We start from the raw sequence: 22,713 nt of genomic DNA, 5'->3' as shown, positions 1-22,713 counted from the left end.
ATGCAAAATATGTTCACCCATCCCAGCAACCTCAAAAGTCTCAAACCCCTGTCTTGGCCATTGTTTTTTCTAGTCTTCAGAGAAGATGTGAGCTGTCATGTACTCCTCTCCCCACTGTGCCTAGGATTTCCTCCTCCAGATTCACAGGGGAGATTTGGGGGTAATAGTTGTTGTCAGCAGCTCTCTATTTTTTAGATCAATGGGTTCACGCTGATCGCTTGCCTAACATTAAATGTGGAATCAAACTTGTAAAGTAGGCAAGACTCGAGGCCTCCTGTCCCAATCTGTTTTAGGCCACCTGTTCACACCACCACTCTGTTGTACCCACCAGTCTCACTAGCCATCCATACAGCAGCACTGGCATCACTCCCATGACCCCTCCCTGCAGCACATTAGCCTCTTTCCTCAGCCAGGTGGAGGTTTCCACCTGTCAAGTTCTCTTTTTTTTATTTCGAAACAGACTCACTCTGTTGCCCAGGCTGGAATGCAGTGGTGCAGTCCCAGCTCACTGTAACCTCCACCTTATGGGTTCAAGCAATTCTCCTGCCTCAGTCTCCCGAATAGCTGGGATTGCAGGCACCCGCCACAATGTCCAGCTGATTTTTGTATTTTTAATAGAGACGGGGTTTCACCATGTTGGCCAGGCTGGTCTCAAACTCCTGACCTCAAGTGATCCACCCATCTCGGCCTCTCAAAGTGCTGGGATTATAGTCATGAGCCACCGAACTTGGCCCACCTGTCAAGTGTGAAGCCTATACCCCTCTTTGGTTCCCCGACATTTGTGTTTCTGGTCTCAGGGGCACCTCTGACATTCAGCTCCTTTGCAGAGTAGCCATGGCTGACAGGTCTTGGCTCTGCTGATGATCACACTTTCTATGCTGATGATTAGCCCCGCCCAGTCCCCCATGCTGACCTTTAAGAAGGAGGTAGAAGGTGGTTTAAGAAGGAAGTAGATGTTGCATTTAGCCTTGGAAGATGAGTGGAATAGGCAGGAGGAAATAAGCAAGGCAGCTGATGTTGAGTGTTTTGTGAGAACGAGGGCCAGAGATCATAACCTTTAATGCATCTACTTCACAGAAGGCCACACTTCCTTCATTACAAAGAGTCTGTCTTTCCCCCTCTCAAATTCCATTTCATGCCTTCATAAACTCCTTTTTCTTTGTTTTTGAGGCAGGGTCTTATTCTGTCACCCAGGCTGGAGTGCAGTGGCGTGATCATAGCTCACTGCAGCCTCCACCTCACAGGCTCAAGCTATCTTCCCACCTCAGTCTCCTGAGTAGCTGGGACTACAGGTGTGCACCACCATGCCCAGCTAATTTTTGTATTTTTTGTGGAGACGGGGTTTCACCATATTGCCCAGGCTGGTCTCAAACTCCTGAGTTATGTGATCCACCTGCCTTGGCCTCCCAAAGTGCTGGAGACTACCGGCATGAGCCACCACACCCAGCCCATAAATTCTTAATACAGGTTTATGGCTTGTAAGACAAAAGAAAATGACAATTCATTATTTTAGAATCTTCGGATAAAAAACTACGTACGTAATATTTTATAAGGCCATCACTTGTAAGTGCCTCACAGAGTGCTGGGCATTGTGTTGAGCACTTCGCATGTGTTAACGTACCTCATTCTTAACCATGGTTACACAGAGAGAAAATGCTATTATCTCAACTTCGGGGCGCAGAAAGGTTAAGTGATTTACACTGTTTCTCACAGCTAGTACGTGGGGGCCAGGATTCACCTGCAGCCTGTGTGGCTGAGAGCCAGCCCTCCTCACCCTCTCCACGCACCACTCTGTGCTCGCAAAATGCAGGCCCACTGGCCATTTCTCCTCACAGCAGTGGTTTCTGTGCCCATGAAGCTGAAGTGTGGAGAAGGCGATCAACTTAGCATGGTTCTCCTGGCAAGCAGCACAAGCTCTGCTGGCTGTGCCTCCTTATCCATCTGCAGCATGGCACCCTGGTATGCAGCTCCTGCGCTGCCCAGGCTGGGAGGGCCACCCCAGGCTTTTTCCCTGCCAGAACCACAACATCCACAGTGCCCAAAATAGCCCCAGCATTACATTACTGAAGTCCTGCTTCTGTGATGAATCCAGCCATCTGTCTCAGGAGACTTCTAAGGCAGGCTTTTGATAGCAAAACAAATAGTCCTGTGGACAGATTTGGGTTTTGTAGGGAATTTATGATTTTTGAAGTTGCATTTCATTGAACCTCTTTCCTTTTTTTTTTTTTTTTTCTTAAAGACAACGTCTTGTTCTGTCGCTTAGGCTGGAGTACAGTGGCACAATCATGGCTTATTGTAGCCTCAACCTCCCGGGCCCAAGTGATCCTCCCATCTCAGCCTCCCAAGTAACTTGGGACTCTGGGTGCGTCACACCACACCCAGCTGATTTTTTAATTTTTGTAGAGACAAGGTCTTACTATGTTGCCCAGGCTGGTCTCGAACTCCTGGGCTCAGGTGATCCTCCTGCCTTGACCTCCCAAAGTGCTGGGATTACAGGCGTGAGCCTCTTCACCCGGTCCTCCTCTTTCTTTAATAACCTACTTTATAACAGACTAACACATATTTTAACACAATTTAAATAATAAGAAATGAGGACAAAGGGAGAATAAAGGTAGCAAAGTAAGGTGAATTCCAGGAGTGTGATTTCTCCACAAAATGAGTAACAAAAAGTCACATACAGTGTCTGGAAGTGGGCCACGGATTTGACCCTAAGATTCTTACAGGCAAGAGCAAAGAGAGAAATACAACTAATTGTTAGGTTCATGGTAGCCTTAAGACTGACACTATTCTAACACTCTTGAATTAATACCTAATAACAATTTCCCCCCTCCCCTGGCCCTCCATCCTTTGGCATTTAGAGAAGTGTCTGCAGTGCACGTGGGAAACCATAACATGCACTGAAAGAACATTCCAGAAGCCCAGGTTCTGATCCAGGTTCTACCAATCCCTGACAAAGTGACCTCTGGGAATCACTTACATTCCTCATCTTTGGTCACTGGGAGTTAGAATTGTACTTTTATTTAATATAGAGCAAATAATGGATGAAAAACTATACCAAAAATTGGTTTACTGCTTATATTTCAGGCCTGGGACTTCCAGGTAAAAAAGCTCCATAGATGAAATGTCTGAGACATGCATATTTACTTATTTTCTTTTCTTTTCCTTTGTTTTTTTGTTTTTTCTTGTTGTTTGTTTGTTTTATTACATATCTACTTATTGGAAGTGGGACTGTCATTGTCCCAGTTACTGATGAGGAAATTAGGCACAGAGAAGTCAAATGACTTGCTTAAGATCTCAAATCCAGGAACTGCAGAAGTGAGATTTGAACCCATTTCCAACTCCAAGGCCTGTATAGTAATTCACTATTCCAGAATACTCCTGTAGCAACCTGGCCATTCGCTGCTGAGCCAATGCCCCCTCTCTTTCCACAAACTCTTCTCCTGTAGCTTCGAAGCTATGGTAGGTGACCAGGAGTCTTGGCCACACTTCTTCCATTGCCTGCCCAGGAGGTATCTCCAACTTTCTCTTACACACATCTGTATGATACACTAAGACCTTTTTCCAAATTGCACAGAGAGAGAAAAAGGGATTGAGTTGCTTCCATATTTTTGCTGCTCATTGTCCTCTTTTCAGTACTATTTTATTTTCAGAATTTTTTCTAGCCACACTTTTCTTCTCAAGCACAGCAGGTAGCCTTTGCATAGCTATGAGAGTGACAGGATTCTTGTCAACCAGACCATAGACGCCTACCCAGCCAGGTGTAAGAAGGTCCGCTGTGGGCAGAGAAGTTGATGAGCCAGCACGGTCAGTCCTGTCTTTCGCTAGCAGGGACTATTGACTGCTCTGTGCCAGACATTTTGTTAAAAAGTGGTGTTATCGGCCTGGCGCAGTGGCTCACGCCTGTAATCCCAGCACTTTGAGAGACCGAGGCAGGTGGATCACTCGAGGTCAGGAGTTCAAGACCAGCCTGGCCAACATGGCGAAACCCCATCTCCACTAAAAATACAAAAATTAGCCAGACGTGGTGGCGCATGCCTGTAATCCTAGCTACTTGGGAGGCTGAGGCAGGAGAATCAGTGAACCTAGGAGGCAGAGGTTGCAGTGAGCTGAGATGATGCCGTTGTACTCCAGCCTGGGCAACAAGAGCAAAACTCCATCTCAGAAAAAATAAAAATAAAAATAATGGTGTTACCAAGACATAGAAGGTGGGGTCCATTCTTTGAAGTGACCACTCATTGAGTAAATTAACATCATTTCTGTTTCATGCCATTGAAGAGCTGTGAATAATAATACCCTTGTGTCAGGCTTCCTGTGGTCTAGCACTGTGTCCCGTACTTTATAGTTTATTTCCTTTAATACTCATGCCCATCTAGGGTAGTAGGTACCATGGTTGTTCCCAGTTGATATATGACGGAATCGAGGCTTAGCAGAATAAGAAGTCACCCAAACTCATACCCACTGGTCAGCAGTACAGCTAGAATTCAAAGCCACACTTGTCTAGGTCCAAAATCTGCACCCCTAATTAACCACTCCTGGTAAGAAGCTGGTTATAAGGGCTGGTCAAGTCAGCTATGGAAGAATTCTCAGAAAGTGACTCTAAAGGTGTTCTTTGAAGGTTGTGTAGGAATTCACCAAAACTGGAAGGAGACAGGCCTTCCTTGCAGGGAAAAGGAACGTAAGGGGCAAAGTTACAGAGACATAAAAACTCACACCATCTTTGGAAAAAGGAGACTCATTTTGAGAAGCCAAAGAGTAAGGTTAAGTGAGAACTCTGGACATTTGGGCCTGTGGGTATTGGGCAGCAGCCCCTGACATGATGACTCGTCTGTGTGACAGCAGAATGAATGACCACAGCAGAGCCAGAGGGCCTTTGCAGCCCTGTTGGTCTCAAATTTACTCATGTATAGCACATGCAACCTGCATTAATAATCACTTCTTTGGAATGTTTTCTACCTGGAAAGGGAATTAGTGGATGTAACAGTTCATTCCCCAAACATAAAATTTTCCTTGACGTTTTGATTGTTATAACTCATTTAAGTGGGAAAGTATAAGATTTGATATCTAGCCCTGAAGACTCATCATTGAGCACAGTGCTAGAAAGAAATGCCTACCAGGCTAGGTGCAGTGGCTCACACCTGTAATCCCAGCACTTTGGGAGGCCAAGACAGGAGGATCACTTGAGGCCAAGTATTTGAGACCAGCCTGGGAAATACAGTGAGACCTTGTCTCTACCAAAAAAAAAAAAAAAAAAAAAAATTAGTAATGAGACCTTGTCTCTACAAAAAAAATAAAAATTAAAATTAACCAGGCATGGTGGGTCATGCATGTAGTCCTAGCTACTTGGGAGGCTGAGGCGGGAGGATCATTTGAGCCCAGGAGTTTAAGGCTGCAGTGAGCTATGATTATGCCACTGCACTCCCACCTGGGTGACAGAGCAAGAACTTGTCTCTTAAAAAAAAAAAAAAAAAAGGCCACGTGTGGTGGCTCACACCTGTAATCCTAACACTTTGGGAGGCCAAGGTGGGAGGATCAGTTGGTCTCAGGAGTCCAAGACCAGCCTGGGCAACTTAGACCCCATCTTGAAAAAATAAATAAATAAAAAATAAGAAAAAAAATAAATGCCCTACCTTGAAGAACATCACAGCTCTGAGGATTTTATGAGTTACCAAAGAAGTCCTTAAATATTAAGTTATATGGGCTCATGAACATATACTGATGGTTAGTTTAATTAAAATTAAATAAAACTAAATTTGAAAGCCTTTGGTTCTTCTAGTAATGCCAGTTTATCTCATTTCTTCTTGTATCAATATCATAGAATTACAGAACATTCTGTCCAGGAGGTGAGCACCCTGCCAGCCTCTCCCTCTTCAGTAGGTGCAGTCAGACCAGGAGGTGATAGGTGCTAGAGTGTGGTGATTCACAGTACAGACCCTGGAAGAGGGCTGCTGGCTTTCCATCCCAGCTTTGACCCTTACCAGTGACCTGACCTTGGGCAATTGACTTTACTTCTCTGTGTGCTTCTTCATATATAAAATGAGGGGTGATTATACTATTTATCTCATAAGCATAATTACTATGAGTATGTAGCACAGTATGTTGCTCACAGTAAGTGCTCAGTAAACGGTCGTTGCTGTTAATAATGTTACTATCAGGGCGTCTTGATGGGTAATGAAGAGCACATTGATTTGTGGTCAGGACTCCCAGGTACACCATTTCCCCACGGGACCTGCAGCCATTTATTCATTTAGTCTCATTTCCTTATCTTATGATGCCAGTCTCATGCTGTGAGGAAGGAAGGCTGGATGAATATAAAAGCATGTGGGCAATCGGTGGTGCTATTGAGCAGATGTGCAGTGTAGTGAGGATCAGTTAGTTTTTTTTCAGCCCTGCCCTCTTCATCTGCCCTCCTGGTGCTCAGCCTCCTCAGCCAGCCCATTCCCAGTGCCACCTAGGCAGTATTATAGTCTTCTAGGTAGAGGAGGAGAGGAGGCTGCTGAAAGAAGAGAACAAGAGTTTCCAGAGCAGTCATAGGAAGAAAGGACAAGGAAATGAACTAGAGCCCCAGAGACAGGGTGCCCATGCAGGGTCCCGGGGAATCCTCCTGGGTGCCTGCAGCTTGGGGCTCCACAACTGCCCTGCACTCTGCCCACCACAAAATGGATCATAGAAGAGCCCTCATTTATTGTCTTGTGACCCTCTCCTGGACATAGCACACTTACCTCCACCTGTGTGCCTCTGGTTTTGCTGCTCACCCGCTAGAAAGTTCTTCACCTGTCCAGGTGCTATGTCTTCCCCAGACAGCATTCCCTACTCCCTCTTCCCCACTCCTGCCAGCAGTCAGAGTTTAGAAACTATTCTCCTCAATTGACAGCAACTGATGTTCATCTCATTACACATTATTAGTGTATTTCCTATGTCTTAAGTCTCACAGGCCAGAGCATAAGCTCTGTGAGAGCAGTGAAGTTTTATTTGTTTTTGTGCCTTCTGCTTCACATTTATGCCTTGCACATAGTAGATGCTTAATAAATGTTAATACTTGGCCGGGTATGGTGGCTTATGCCTGTAATCCCAGCACTTTGGGAGGCCGAGGCAGGTGGATCACCGGAGGCCAGGAATTTTAGACCAGCCTGGCTAACATGGTGAAACCCTGTTTCTACTAAAAATACAAAAATTAGCTGGGCGTGGTGGTATATGCCTGTAGTCCCAGCTACTCAGGAGGCTGAGGCAGGAGAATCACTTGAACCCAGGAGGCCGATGCTGCAGTGAGCTGAGATTGCACCACTACACTCCAGTCTAGGCAACAGAGTGAGACTCCATCTCAAAAAAAAAAAGTTAATATTTGAATGAATGCCCCTGTAGTCCCAGCTACTTGGGATGCTGGACAGGAGGAACACTTGAACTCTGGAGTTCAAGGCTACAGTGAGCCATGATTGCACCACTGCACTCTAGCCTGGGTGACAGAGTGAGACTGTCTCAAAAAAAAAAAAAAAAAGAGAGAGAATGAATGACGAGTCAGTAAGTGCCTGAGGGCCTGGCCCAACAGATGACCACTTATCCACCACCCTGCTAATGGTGTTCACATGCACATTCCACTTGTGAGTTGTGTGTTTCTTCTGAGTTTGGATACTAGAGGGTAGTCTCCTAGCATGAGGCCTCTTGGTGAACTTGAAATTTATTCTTCTTTCTCTACCCTCAAACTAAGGACAAGATCCTGAGCCAGTGGGAACATCACCAAGTTTCTATGCTCTTTGAGGCCTTGCCACAGAGCAGCTGCTCACCTCTTTGATACACTCCTTTACCAGAAATAAAAAACCGCAAAGCCCAAAACAGTGCTCAGTTTTGTTTTGGTCTTAGGCCAGAAATGCATGCCGTTTTGGCTTGGGTCTTTTAAATGCCGTTCTGGAACCTGAGCAATGCCTGTCTACAGGCCAAACCCATGTATTCTCATTGCATTTCCCCATCTAAAGACATACCTTTTCACCTTCGGTTTTCCTTGTAGGTAACGATGGGGGTCCATCCTCTTCAAGTAAGACTACAAACAAGTTTGAGGGACTATCCCAGCAGTCGAGGTAAGCCATCTCAGCGCTTCATTTCCCCTGTTGGATCCATTGATGCAATGGACAGAATTCTAGAAATGAGTTTTCATGAATTTCCCAGCGCTGCTCAAAGCTGTGGTCAGCCAAGTGGGGCAGGCCACAACAAGAAACCAGACGTTCACTCTTGGTTTGCATGCACATCTTGTGACTGGACTGGGCACAGGTCTGCAGACCGTTCTCTGAGCAGCAACGCTGTCTACCCAGTTCACAGACAGGAGCTAACCTCACTTCCCGGTGGTCGCAGGGTTGTGCAGTGGTCTTGAACAAAATTCCTGTCAGAATGAGTTTTTATTTTTGATATTTTAATCAAGTAACTTTGTTACTTTTCCACTTGACTCCTTTTGCAGATTTGGAAATGAAAAGATAATCCTTAGGGAAATCTGATTGCCTGGAGATTTTCAAACATAAAAATAGCACTCTTTCAAGTTCTGTTTCTAATATTTTTTTTTTTAGGCTAGGCTGACAGCAGTGTTCTTTTCTTCCCTTTTTTCACTGAAATTGTATACTTGAGGAGATCTCTTACGGGCAGTTTTTATCCAGCCTTACCCTAAAGTGTTTTCTCTGGAGGTGCCATCCAAGGAAAGGACAGAGAGCCACTTCCAGACCCAAACTTCAGGGAAAAAGAGTCAGCTCTTATCCAGAGTTTCTGAAAGATGAGAAAACAAAATCTCTCTTTTTTTGAGATAGGGCCTTTCTCTGTCACCCAGACTGGAGTGCAGTGGTATGAGCACAGCTCACTGTAGCCTCAACCTCCTGGGCTCAAGAGATGGTCCTGCCTCAGCCTCCCGAGTAGCTGGAACCAGAGGCATGCATCACTGTACTCAGCTGATTTTTTTATTTTTTTGTAGAGACAAGGCCTCAGCATGTTGCCCAAGCTGGTCTTGAACTTCTGGGCTCAAGCAATCCTCCTGCTTCAGCCTCCCAAAGTGCTAGGATTACAAGTGGGAGCCACCATATCCAGCCTTTTTTTTAATACCACTATCTTATGTACTCTTTATAACCCTGTGAGATAGGCCCAATTACTATTATCCTCAGTTTTGCAGGTGAGGAGAGCGAGGCCCAGAGTGGTTAGGTGGTGGGTGCAGATGTCAGAGCCAGCTCTCCAGCCTACTTGTTCTCCCAACTCCACATTCCACACCCCTTCCTTGCCCTTGTGCCCTGCCTTTCATTCCTCACTCACCTTCCTTCAACCCTAATTTGGGGGACCCTGTAAAACTAAAGTTCTGGTGTTCTTTTTCCAGAGTGAGGAGAATATCTGACACTCCAAAAGCACTCATAAAAGGTTTTTAAAGGCTGGACACAGTGGCTCACCTGTAATCCCAGCACTTTGGGAGGCCAAGGTGTGAGGATTGCTTGAGCCCCGAAGTTTGAGGCCAGCCTGGGCAACATAGCAAGACCTTGCTTCCTAAAAATAAAAAAAATCAGCCGGGTATGGTGGTACATACCTGGCTATACGGGAGGCTGAGGCAAGAGGACCGCCTGAGCCCAGGAAATTGAGGCTGCAGTGAGTCATGATCGCACCTCTGCACTCCATCCGGGGCGACAGCAAGACCCTGTCTCAAAAAAAAAGTTTTGGCAGGGCACAGTGGCTCTCGCCACTTTGGGAGAACCAATCCCAGCACTTTGGGAGGCCAAGGCAGGTGGATCACTTGAGGTCAGGAGTTCAGGACCAGCCTGGCCAACATGGTGAAACCCCGTCTGTACGAAAAATACAAAAATTAGCCGGGCATAGTGGGGTGCGCCTGTAGTCCCAGCTACTCAGGAGGCTAAGGCAGGAGAATCACTTGAACCTGGGAAGTGGAGGTTGCAGTGAACCGAGATCACGCCACTGCACTCCAGCCTAGGTGACAGCGAGACTTCGTCTCAAAAAAAAAAAAAAAAAGTTTTTAAACAAAATCAAGCTGATTGTGAACTAGAGCCTTTGGCAACTCGTTAAGTTTGTTTGTTTGCTTTTGAGATGGAGTCTCTTTCAAGAGAAACAAAGCCCTCTCATGTTTACTGTTTCTTGTTTAGTGGTGGCTTTATCTCAGCAATATTCCCCCGTTGCCCAGAGACAGGAGGATTTCAAGTGAGCTGAGGAAAGAGCAGTGAAGATCAAGGATGGCCAAGAGCCAGGACAGAAAGGAGCACACACCTTTCATCTTCTCTCTTTGACTACTTTTTGTTTTGTTGGTTGGTTTGGCTTTTTCTTTTCTTTTAAATGCAGTTAGCTGAGGCACAAGAATCGCTTGATCCCGGGAAGCAGAGGTTGCAGTGAGCTGAGATCGTGCCACTGCACTCCAGCCTGGTGACAGAGCAAGACTGTGTCTCAAAAAAAAAAAAAAAAAAAAAAAAAAAGCAGCAGCAGCAGCAACCAACTCTTAGGACATCAGGGGACAGAAATGGAGAGATGAGATAATAAAGGGGTTCTTGGCAGATGGGGCTCAGGCACTTGGCTACTGCTGCTTCTCAGGCATGCAGGCCTCCTGGTGTCCTCTGAGAATCGCCAAAACCTCTTGTTAAAGAAAAATAGTGGCTTCCACCTAATGTAGACCACTGATGGCACTGGGGTTTCAGTTGCAGAGGTTAACGTTTGATGATTTAGACAATGTGGTATGGACCTGTATTCCAGGGACTTGGGCCTTTGTCACCCTCATTTACCTGTCCTCCAAAAGGAAAGCAAGGCCTAGGAGAGCCTGGAGGCCCGAGAACCAAGCTCTTTGCTATAGTGGAGGAAGTGAGGGCTCTGGAGGCCCAGGGGAGCTAGGGCCGAATTTCCACTTCTACCTCTGACCCACGTGAGACCTTCTGCCAGCCGCCAACACCCCCATTCCCTTCCATTTCCTTGTCTGGAAACACAGAGCTGCTTTGTGGGATCATGTGGGAAGAGTTACTTCTGTGCACTACATTGGGGTCACCACTTAGAGTGTGCCAGGTGCCTTCATAAATGCTTTGAAGTGGAGGAGTTGGGCTTTATCATTAAGAGGGACTTTTTTTTCATCCTTTTACTGTGCCTCCTCAGCCAGGCAAACTGAAATATGGAAAATAGACTAATCTTTTGTTAAAGACATTTTGAGGCTGGGCACAGTGGCTCATGCCTGTAATCCCAGCACTTTGGAAGGCTGAGGTGGGTGGATCCACGAGCTCAGGAGTACAAGACCAGCTTGGCCAAGATGGTGAAACCCCATTTCTACTAAAAATACAAAAATTAGCCGGGTGTGGTGGTGGGCACCTGTAATCCCAGCTACTCAGGAGGCTGAGGCAGGGAATTGCTTGAACCCAGGAGGCCGAGGTTGCAGTGAGCAGAGATCGCGCCACTACACTCCAGCCTGGGCAACAGAGGGAGACTCCATCTCAAAAAAAAAGGAAATTTTGAAAGCATTCTTTAGATGATTATGTAAATACCTTTGATTTGATTTACTTGAATAATATTTTGCTATTGATATTCTAGCACTTTTAGATCCTAAATGATTCTTATTTGTTGATTAGCACCAGTTCTGCAAAGACTGCCCTTGGCCCAAGAGTTCTTCCTAAACTACCTCAGAAAGGTAAGATCTATCATTTTTACATTTACATGTAATTAAAGTGTCACTACCCCCTCCAAGGGGCCCAAGGTTTTTATCTCCCTTGTTCATTGATCCATCCCAAATGCCTAGAGCAGCACCTGGCATGTAGTGGATGCCTAGTAAATACACATTAAATGACGAAAGGTATTTATAAACTCAAATTTGGTGATTAGCAAAGCACCATACTTTTCCAGAATACATAATAATTTTGTAGACATTACATTATTATAATCCCCAGGAACCATTCTTTCTCCCCTTATAAACATAATCAGAGAGACTTGGGAACCAACACCAGCTCTACCACTTAGTAGCTGTGTGGCCTTGGGCAGGTGACGTAGTAGCTTCACTAAACCTGAGATTCCTCATCTGTAAAATGGGGAAAATAATACTTCGTGAGGTTTTGTAAGGACAAAATGAAGTCATGTTTCAGAAAGTCCCCAGCAAGTGGGTGGCAAAGGAATCCTTCCCTAGGATGGCATCTGTTGTGCAGAGTAGAGATACCCATGCTCTGCAAAGTACAAGAAAGCAGTGTCTATAAATACTGTTTTTTTGCCAAGCTAAGACACTCAGCTCTTTGACTGAGTCTTCTTTAATGCTGACAAGGTTTTCATTTGTGAAACCAAAATTTCAGTCTTCTTATTACAACACAAGTGATAGTTATGCCTTTTTTGTTGTCGTTGTTGTTACCATACCTTACCTTTAAAGCTGCAAAATACCTTTAGGAGCATCTAGATCATTCCATCCTTCTATAAGCCTGCAAGGCCAGCAGGGCCCACCTTGGATACAGACGGAAGCTCCGAGGAGCTCAGGGCCTGCTCCTTGGATTTTCAGTGCCAGCAGCAAGATTTGTGACCCCAGTCTAGTGCTCCGTTGCCTAGTTTGAGCAGAAGTCAAACTGGGGGTTAGTATTGGGAAGCTGAAATTCACCACTCTCTAGAGTTCTTCAGTGAAGTAACACACTTTGAAGAGCACTGACTGGTCAGGCCAGGCTCCTGTGTAGTAAGATGAGGGGACTCCCAAATGACTGCTGATTCACTTTCCGTAGAACAGATGCAAGACTTCCCCTGGGTTTGCTGAGTCTTTATCTAGGGTTGGTTTTTGTTGTCTTTTATTTTTAAACTCTGCCCAACGGGCTGTTTTGATCTCAGAAGAGTTTGAAACAAGTTTCCCAGGCATGTATCCCCATTTACAGTGTGCCCAGATTCCGTCCTAGATCGCTCACATATCACCCTACCTCTCCAGCCTGCTTTCTCTAGCAGCAGACCCCAGCACTTCCCAGTGCCCATGGGGCTTTACCGCAACTGCCGCCAGCTCTTCCCTGCACCCATCCCCTCCATGCCCTCCCTTCCCTCGCAGCATGGCGTCAGCCCATCACCAAAGTCACTCCCTGATGTGCTCCCTCAGCTCCTGCCCCTCCTGTGCTGGGTTCTGCCACTCAACTGACTTCTGAGAGGCACAGTCAGTGTGGCAGTCTGGCTCTCCCTATGACTGCTGACCTCACATGGTCATCTGGGGCTGCCCAGCAGTCCCAGCACCGCAACCTTTCAGCCCACTCCCCTACACTGTCTCTCCTCTCCTTAGGAGCACCTTGTTTCTGTTCCTCATTGAGTCAGCACAGGAGTCCACCCCTACTACCACCTGCCTGGCATGGTGGCCGTGGTCCTAAGGTAGACCTTGTACCCTCCCACCCCCTCGGGGACAGACTCCAGCAGGTGTCCCTCCATCTTTTGCATTGCTGTTTCCTTCCATCTGACTTGCCCTATCAGGGCAGGCCTACTGTCAATACCCATGAAGACCTGTGTCCCTCCTACCACCACCCCGTTGCTCTACTCTCGTTCTCTCTGTGTGTGTGTGTGTGTGTGTGTGTGTGTGTGTGTGTGTGTGTGTGTTTACTATTTGGAATTTTCCGTAATAAACATATACAGAAATACAAAAAAAGACACAGAATAGTATCCTGCAGCCTCCTCCACCACACCCACATACTTATCACCCATTCCAGCACTTAACAGTTTATACCTGATCTTCTTTCATCTAGTTCCCTGCCCAGCCACTCTCAGTAATTCTGTAGCGAATCCCAGCCAATTTCATACATACGCAATTCTATTACTACATCAAAAAATTCATCATGTCTAAAAAATCAAAAATTTCTTAATATCATCAAATACCCAGTGTTAACATATCCAGCTGTCTCACAATTGCCCCCTTTTTTTTTTTAAGAACTTGTTTGTTTGAATAAGGATTAAAATAAAGTCCACACAGTAGAGTTGATTGATTTGTCTCTAAGTGTCTTAGGCTAAAGTTTCCCCTGCATCTCTCTTTTTATTTGTTGAAGAAACTGTGTTATTCGTTCTATAGATTTCTCCAGTCTAGATTCCATCCCCTCGTGTTTGTTCATCTAACGTGTTCCCCTGCCTGTCATATTTCCTATTAATTGGAAGTTGATTCCAGAAACCTGATCAGATAGATTGAGGCTTTGGCAAAACCACTTCATAGGTGGTAGTGTGTTCTATCACGAGGTGTACACCATCGCATTGTCTCTGTGTGTGAAGTTCACAGCTGTTAATGCTCAGAGCCAAGATTGATCCATCCATCCTCTCTTTCCATCCCTCTGCAAGCCGATGGGCCAGCGGTTAAGCTTCAGCCCTGTCTTCCTTGGCCGTCTGCAGCTCTTGGCACAGTCACTGCTTCTCCCCTGCCTGGAACGCTATGTACTTGTGTTCTGGACACTACCTGTCCACTCTCGCTGCACTGTCAGTTCCTTCCCGACCCCCTTAACTGCTTTCTCGTCTCCTCCACCTCAGCATGTTGAGCACCACAGGCCGTGGTCATGGACTGCTTCTGTTCTGCATCTTCCCTTACTCCTTAACTCATCCAAACAGTCCCACAGCTTTACACCCATCTGGAAAGCTCCACATTTGTATTTGTTTTTTTTTTTTTTTGAGACGGAGTTTCACTCTTGTTGCCCAGGCTGGAGTGCAATGGTGCGATCTCAGCTCCCCGCAACCTCCGCCTCCCAGGTTCAAGCGATTCTCCTGCCTCGGCCTCCCAAGTAGCTGGGATTACAGGCATGTACCACCACGCCCATCAAATTTTGTATTTTTAGTAGAGACAGGGGTTTCTCCGTGTTGGTCAGGCTGGTCTTGAACTCCTGACCTCAGGTGATCCCCCCGCCTCAGCCTCCCAATGTGGAAAGCTCCACATTTCTATCTCCTACCAAAGTATTCGTCCATAATCCGAATTCACCAACAACAGCCTATTTCACATCGCCACTTGATGCCTGTGGGGGATAATTCTCTAACTGTGTTTTTCCTCTGCTCTCACATCACAACAATCATCAACACAGAAGAAGATTTCTGTGACAAACGTGTGGGGATTTTTCCCCACACACCAAGCAGCAGACACCAGTTGGGTGTCCTCGAATTCAGTTCCGACACTGTCTACCTGAAGATAGTGCCAGTCCCACCGGGTGAGAGCTCAGTCCCCAAAACTGCCCCCCCCCGCGCGCACACACACACACACACACACACACACACACATATCAATTGCAAGTCCAGGCCTTCAGAACTTCTGACTGACTGGCTACAAGGTGGGGCTCCTACAACTCCCTCTTTGGATTCATTTAATTTGCTGTAGCAGCTCACAGAACTCAGGGAAACACATTTACCAGTTTATCATAAAGGATACTGCAAAGGATACAGATAAAGAAATGTGTAGAGAGAAGTATGGGGGAAGGGGTGCTGTATTAGTCCGTTTTCACGCTGCTGATAAAGACATACCTGAGACTGGGTAATTTATAAAGAAAAAGAAGTTTAATGGACTCACAGTTCCATGTGGCAGGGGAGGCCTCGCAATCATGGCAGAAGGCGAAAGGCACGTCTTACATGGCAGCAGGCAAGAGAAAAATGAGAGCCAAGCAAAAGGGGAAACCCCTTATAAAACCATCAGATTTCATGAGACTTATTCACTACCATGAGAACAGTATGGGGGGAACTGCCCCCATGATTCAATTATCTCCCATCAGATCCCTCCCACAACATGTAGAAATTATGGGGGCTACAATTCAAGGTGAAATTTGGGTGGGGACACAGCCAAGCTATATCAGGTGCAGAGCTTCCAAGCCCTTTCTGGAAACTCCAGGAGCCTCCACATGGTCAGCTCTCCAGAGGCTCACTGAACCCTGTCCTCTTGGCTTTTTATGAAAGCTTCATGATGTCAGCATTCCTTCCCCCAGGGTATAGGGTAGGACCCTCTCATGGAAGGTGTTTTAAGACCCACAATCGGAATAGAGTCCTGCCTTGGGATAGGTAATAAGAGGGCAAGAGAAGGTCAGGGGCCTGCCTCAGAGGCCTGACACACCTAACATAATAACAGATGACTATAACAAGGGTTATAAGCCAGCAACTGTGGACGAAAACTAATACATATCATAGCACCACAGCCTACTCCCTGGTTTTCTACTGTGGATCCTTTATATCAAAAAACATATATATACACAATCATTAATAATTAGTCCAGTCCATCATAGTGTATGAATGTCTCCCAGGATGATGAGGACACTCAGGTTTGCAGGTTTCCTCTCAATATTGTCAGGTTCCACAAGCAGGAGTGGTCTGGGTAAATACACAGCTTCACCCTCTCAGGCATGTGGAATCATTGAGCTAAGAGGCAGTGTCATCTCTTGCCCTGAGACTCTTTTGAGTTGTCTCATTTGCCCATTTATTTGTTTACTCTCAGCTACTATTTCTCCTTCTCTCCATTAATCTCCAAACTTTTTTGAAGGGACATTAGAATCACCACTGTGCTGGTCTAGATTACAAGCAGCAATACAAGTCTAGCAAGTAGCTCCTCAGTCCACTCCCATTCAGATAGGGTGAGGCTACATAGATGCAGAACCAATGAGCTATTTTTACCACCGGCCATATTCACTGTTAGCCCCAATTTTGTTAGAAGGGGTGAAGGCACATCTCACCCCCATGATGCCCTCAGGAATTTTGACATAATATTTAAAAACATGGTTACAGTTTTTTACTTAGCATTCCTGCTAAAAATTTTTTGAAGTGTTGGGCGCAGTGGCTCATACCTATAATCTAAGCTCTGTGGAAGGATGGGAGGATGGATTGAAGTCAGGAGTTGGAGACCAACCCAGGCAATACAGTGAGACCCCATAGCTAAAAAACAAAAATCATCTTTGCTGTCCCAGCAACTCCTGTCCTAGGATCACTGCATCGGGTAGGGGAGAAAAAATACTTTTTTTTCTTAGATGATTTGGGGAAACTCTGCTTTCTCTCTCTCTCTCTCTCTCTCTCTCTCTCTCTCTCCCCCCCTCCCCTCTCTCTCTCTCTCTCCCCCCCTCCCCCTCTCTCTCCCCCTCTCTCTACCCCTCTCTCTCCCCCTCTCTCTCCCCCTCTCTCTCCCCCTCTCTCTCCCTCCCTCTCTCCCTCTCTCCCTCTCTCCCTCTCTCTCCCTCTCTCCCTCTCTCTCCCTCTCTCCCTCTCTCTCCCTCTCTCCCTCTCTCCCCTCAAGGAGTATCTCCTCCTTGAGTTCCTCAGGTAGCATGATCCTCTATAAACCATTTCCATTTTATTGTGGAACTCTTCTAGGCACTGCCTTCCCCATTAGAATGTTCTTGGACATCACCTGAGACAGCATGGGTATTTCAGATGTCATAGGGGTAACTTCAACTAACATTTCATAGCAAGGTCCCTTAAGTGGAAATTCTCTATTCCAAAGTCCCAGTAGTTGTTGCTGGGAGGTGCTCAAAACACTTTTGCCATAAGCCCCAGGAACTGCTCCACAGGGGGTTATCAAGTGGAGAGTTTGTCCCTGCCAGCACTCTAGCTTCTACTCTGCACTCTGCAGGCTTGGGCATGTCCAATTAATATTGGAGAGCAGATTTACATGCCTTCTGTTTTATAGTACCAGGTAGGGGAAACATTCTCCAGTGTGATACTGTGTTCATTACCATGATACAATCAAATAAAAGAGATGCAGTCGGCCGGGCACGGTGGCTCACGCCTGTAATCCCAGCACTTTGAGAGGCCAAGGTGGGCAGATCAGGAGGTCAGGAGATGGAGACCATCCTGGCTAACACGGTGAAACCCCGTCTCTACTAAAAAATAGAAAAAATTAGCCGGGCATGGTGACGGGCGCCTGTAGTCCCAGCTACTCAGGAGGCTGAGGCAGGAGAATGGCGTGAACCCGGGAGGCGGAGCTTGCAGTGAGCCGAGATTGCGCCACTGCACTCCAGCCTGGGCGACAGAGTGAGACTCCGTCTCAAAAACAAAAAAAAAGAGATGCAGTCAATTCACATGAAGTGTGTTCAAATATACCAACTTTCATCATCCTATCAACCCTTACATTTTTATATTCTAGTTTCAGGAACTTCTTCACCCCCAGACCATTTTACTCTCTCTTGCGCAAAAAGCTTTGGGTCTTCTGCCAAGGGTTGAGCCAAAGGACCCTGGACCTTTTGTCAATCTTTATTTTGATTAGTCTGCCCCATTTTTGCCCCAGGCAATTTCATATCATATGTTTCATTGTAATCTCTACCTTGCAACTTTTAAAATTTCTTCAAACTGCAAGAAATACAGTAAACTGGGTTAGGGCCGTTTAATGTTGGGAGAGCGGAGGGGTTTGGTCCACCCAAGCTTCGATAATGTTGTATTAAGATCTTTGTTGTGCTCACTTCGGCAGCACATATGCTAAAATTGGAACCATACAGAGAAGATTAGCATGGCCCCTGCTCATGAATGACACGTTATTTTTTAACAACAGCAAAAAAAGACCTTTGTTTTGGTAAGCGCAGTGGCTCATGCCTGTAATCCCAGCACTTTGGGAGGCTAAGGCGAGTGGATTGTTTGAGCTCAGGAGTTTGAGACCAGCCTGGGCAGCATGGCAGAACCCTGTCTCTACATAAAATACACAAAATTAGCCAGGCGTGGTGCCACATGCCTGTAGTCCCAGCTACTCAGGAGGCCGAAGTGGGAGGATTGCATGAGCCTGGGAGGCAGAGATTGCAATGAGCTAAGATCACGCCACTGCACTCCAGCCTGGGTGACAGAGCAAGACCCTGCCTCAAAAAACAAAGACCTTTGTTTTAACTGTATCAATTTCCATTTTATTCATTCCATTTCTTAATAACCATCTAAAGATTTCTACCCTGCTGGGATGAGTCCCATGACTCTCCCCTTTCTTTTTCTTCTTAGTTTTATCCTATCAGTGTTTTCTTCACCTTATTTGTTAATAACCATTTTAAAATTTCCACCTTCCTGGGAGGAGTCCTTTGGCTCTCACTTTTGCCTTTCCCTGTTCTCTTGTTAATTAACCTAATATTTTTATTAGCATCTATAAGACCCATGAAGGGAAGCTGAGACAGCAAATTTAATAAGGCTTCTTGAACTGTTCATTTCTGTAGGAGTAATATCACATGGGGTGCCCATGTAGAAGGGGCCCTCTTAACCACACATTTACCATGACTTGGGTAACAGGCATGTTCAGCGTGTGAATAGCCCTGTCATCATAAAGCCAGTCCCACATGCATACAGAGCATATCAGCTACTGCATCTGGGGTGTCCCACTTGACATTTGTAGGTAGAGTTGGACAGTCCCCCTTCTCAGGGTGAACAGACCTTACAGTGGCTTTTATCTGTTCCACCAAGCTGCCAGTTACCGCAGGAATAGCCTCCTGTGTGTCTGGATCATATATACCCATATGCAGTTGTTCAATAGTGAGCTGTGGGTCCCATCAATCCAAACATGTACTTCTACTCTGTAGTGTTTAAAACCAAAGATACTGCCCCTAAATTAGTCACTCTTACAGTGCGTTTTAGTAAAGGTTCCTCAGGAAGCTGATGATACTGATCTACAGAATGAAACAGTTCTTTCGCACTATACCCTCTAGTTTCCATAGTTACTTAGTTTTGCCCCTCCTTCACATTGACTACCTTCTTGGTAACCACAAGTCTCAGAGGTACTTTCTGTTGTCCCTGCGTAATTTTCTCCTTTGTGGGTAACTTTAAGGCTAGTGGACTAAGCTCAGGCAGACCCACATCTGAGCTTAGTCCAGCCTCAAGTCCTGACCCAGCACCCTCTTTTATTTTAGCCATTATAGACAACAATAACCAGGGATTAAATATTTCACTTTTTTCTTAGTTTGCATTTCTTTATGCATCCAGTGCCCCAACTCCTGGGGAGTTGGATCCATCTCTGAATTCCACTGGTAACTTTTACCTTTAGTAACTGATCTCAGCACAGCTGTGGCTTCATACCCTGGGTGACCACATGGCCACATAGGAATCCAAAGATTCCTGATCCCCCACCCTTTTATCCTTTCTCTTCTCAAACCACATGTTTCTGTGAGTCAGAGCTGTTCCAACAAATCCTGCTTCGCTGATACCAAATGTGTGGTGTACGGCTCCCAGCAGACTGATTTTTATGTCGCTATTAATATAAACCTTGATGATCAGATGCTTTGAAAGATCTTTGGGTGTAAAGGACAAAATGTAATGGCAGCATACACAACATGCCGCAGTGTGCTATGTACACTTTTATCACCGTTCCTTTTGTGGATGAAAAGCTATTAAGCAGAATACAGGAAAACACTGGGTTCTTAATGGGATTAAAGCAGTGGGGCTGGGCACGGTGGCTCACACCTGTAATCCAAGCACTTTGGGAGGCCCAAGCTGGAGGATCACCTGAGTCCAGAAGTTTGAGACCAGCCTGGGCAACATGATGAGATGAGACCTTGTCTCTACAGAAATTTGAAAAATTAGCAGAGTGTGGTGGTCCGCACCTGTGGTCCCAGCTATACAGGAAGTTGAGGCTGGAGGATCTCTTGGACCCAAGAGGTCGAGGTAGTAGTGAGCCATGTTTGCACCACTGCACTCCAGCCTAGGTGACAGAGTGAGACCCTGTCAATCAATCAATCAGTAAAATAGTGGGCATCACATAGTGGATCTGAGTTCCTTTAGGGAATGGTCCCACCCTGAGACAAGGAAAGCTGTAGGAGGCCTTGTGGCACACTCACACTAAACTACATGTAGATGTGACCACCACTCATCTAACTCTAGTATGGGTCACCCAACATTTCTGGGTGCAAAACATATATCCTAACTGTACTCAGGCCTTTACTACACACTGCAGCAACATGCATGTTGGATGAAACAACACTGACCCACCAGACAGAAAAGGGCCTTATAGGAGATAGGTGCAGGTCTGGGTATCCTGGGATAAGTTGAGTTTGCTTTCAATGAGCAGCAGAATTCAGAGGAAAATGCAGATTAGAGGGAGTTCTCTTCCAGGAGGAAGGCAAAAGGATGGGAGTCAGCTTGGAAAGATAAGGAGGCTTTGGCAGAGTGAGCCAGGCCAACTCAATAAACAGTGCTGAAGAGAATGCTAAGATGCAGCTTTGGGAAAGGGCCTGTACCCAGACCCAACAGGGCCTCTTCACAATTTTAATACAAATAGAGGCTGAAATGGGGGGCAGTGGCCCTCAGTCTTGGCTGCTGAGGCTCAGGGCACACCTGTGGGACTCTTATGGCCCTCTGAATTTACGGAAGTTCTCTGAGGGCACTTGCAGTTTACATCAATGTGCTATGACTGCCCATGCCTTTAGGTTAGGGCAAAGTAAAACATGTTCTGCAGTGTAGTTGGTAGGTATAGGAACTATTCTAAACACCCATCAAATGAATGAATGAATGAATGAATGAAAGAAAAAGAAACAAGGAAGGAAGGAGAGAGAGAGAAGAAAGAAAGAAAAAAGAAAGAAAGAATGAGAAAGAAAAGAAAGGGAAGGAAAGGAAGAAAGAAAAGAAAGAAATAGGCCAGGTATTGTGGCTCAAGCCTTTAATCCTAGCACTTTGGGAGGCTGAAGCGGGAGGATCACTTGAGCCCAGGAGTTCAAGACCAGCCTGGGCAATGAAGTGAGACCCTGTCTCTATTTAATTAGTAAAATTAACACCACCCATGTACTGTCTGCAGGAGGCAGGTGGGCTGTGCTATAACTGATAGCACCCAGTGGAAACCAGCAGTACAAGCCTGTGAGATGAGACAGGGTGATTGGCTCTGCCCCTAATTAATTTCAAATCCAGAAATGACTGAGTCATGGCCATTGTAACAACACCTGTCCTTAATAACATTTGGTATATGGGCAAGGGGAGATTTTATTGGGAAGGCAAAGGAAATACCTCTGTCATTCTTACTAATCTATAATGAAGCTAAATTGTACCACGATTGTATCACAATATGGTGTAATACTGGGGGCATTGGTAAGGTTCAGCTTCCTCATGTAAATAAGCTTTATGATAATACTGATACGATCAGATGTATTGGGAGGTTGAGTTGAAGCTCCCTCAGGATGGAATGCCTGTGGAAAACGGCCCAAGAAGGAACTGGATCTAGCTAACCATCAGCTGATCTCTGTGCGAAACAGCTCTGCACAAGTTTATCCTAAGGTCCAATAGCGGTAGACCAAGGCAGGAAAGAACAGTGAGGCTAGTACACGATTATGAAAGTGTTTGTGTGACTTCATAGGACAAATTAGTCATTTCTTTAAATTCATCCCTACCCACACTGGCTTCTCCAGATTTTAGGTGGCGGCATTGCTGTAACTGTTTTATAAATGCTACAACAAATGTTCTGATAGATACATTTGTTTTGGTATAAGGGATCTGTGATTGAAAACCAAGGAATGGCCTATGGAGCTGTAGATATATATGTATTGGTATCCGTCCACAGTTCCTGGTTTATAGTGTCCACATCCCTTGTTACAGTCTGGTTGTAATGCTGGATGTGTTAGGCCTCAGGAAACAGAATCTCTCCTGCCCTCCTTTATGTACCCCAAGGCAGGACTCTAATCTTTTCCCATCTTGTGGGTTTGAGATCCTACCCTATACCCTGGGGGAAGGAATGCTGACGTCATGAAGCTGCCATTAAAAACCCTAGAGGACTGGGTTCAAGGAGCTTCTAGAAAGCTAAACCCGTGGAGGCCAACAGGAAAGTGAAGAAGAACTCGCTCACGTGCCGGGAGGGCGACACACCCCCAACTCCTCAGGTTCAGAAGCTCCTGTGCTCAG

At 45.9% G+C, this 22,713-nt stretch overlaps 1 protein-coding gene, 1 long non-coding RNA gene and 1 pseudogene across 24 annotated transcripts in view, besides 3 other annotated features; all 3 read left to right on the top strand.

The window, feature by feature from the left end:
* The window catches only part of ASAP1 (ArfGAP with SH3 domain, ankyrin repeat and PH domain 1), a 391,571-nt gene that overhangs the window by 355,704 nt on the left and 13,154 nt on the right, over positions 1–22,713 (top strand). For all 23 annotated transcript variants that reach the window (XM_047421810.1, XM_047421806.1, XM_017013468.2 and 20 more), the window contains 2 exons: positions 8,000–8,069; positions 11,565–11,623. In XM_047421810.1, the coding sequence (XP_047277766.1) occupies positions 8,000–8,069; positions 11,565–11,623 (129 nt within the window). The remainder of the gene's footprint in view (positions 1–7,999; positions 8,070–11,564; positions 11,624–22,713) is intronic.
* Positions 1,320–1,852: an enhancer, noted in NCBI's record as "H3K27ac-H3K4me1 hESC enhancer chr8:131098365-131098897 (GRCh37/hg19 assembly coordinates)". NCBI's record gives its function as "activates a minimal SCP1, AML or CMV promoter by ChIP-STARR-seq in primed H9 embryonic stem cells {active_cell/tissue: H9 hESC(primed)}" and the evidence as "EXISTENCE:reporter gene assay evidence [ECO:0000049][PMID:30033119]".
* ASAP1-IT2 (ASAP1 intronic transcript 2) lies at positions 3,203–5,233 on the top strand. The gene has a single exon (NR_045385.1). It is a non-coding gene; the product is annotated as an ASAP1 intronic transcript 2 (long non-coding RNA).
* Positions 8,138–8,287: an enhancer, noted in NCBI's record as "active region_27980". NCBI's record gives its function as "activates an Ori minimal core promoter by ATAC-STARR-seq in GM12878 lymphoblastoid cells {active_cell/tissue: GM12878}" and the evidence as "EXISTENCE:reporter gene assay evidence [ECO:0000049][PMID:35858748]".
* Positions 17,458–18,340: an enhancer, noted in NCBI's record as "H3K4me1 hESC enhancer chr8:131081877-131082759 (GRCh37/hg19 assembly coordinates)". NCBI's record gives its function as "activates a minimal SCP1, AML or CMV promoter by ChIP-STARR-seq in primed H9 embryonic stem cells {active_cell/tissue: H9 hESC(primed)}" and the evidence as "EXISTENCE:reporter gene assay evidence [ECO:0000049][PMID:30033119]".
* Positions 18,319–18,398, top strand: RNU6-1255P (RNA, U6 small nuclear 1255, pseudogene; annotated as a pseudogene).

Source organism: Homo sapiens, chromosome 8 (genome assembly GCF_000001405.40).
Source record: "Homo sapiens chromosome 8, GRCh38.p14 Primary Assembly".
Taxonomy (NCBI): Eukaryota; Metazoa; Chordata; class Mammalia; order Primates; family Hominidae; genus Homo; species Homo sapiens.
Note: the sequence above shows the minus strand (reverse complement) of the source record. Positions and strands in the feature narration are given on the sequence as shown.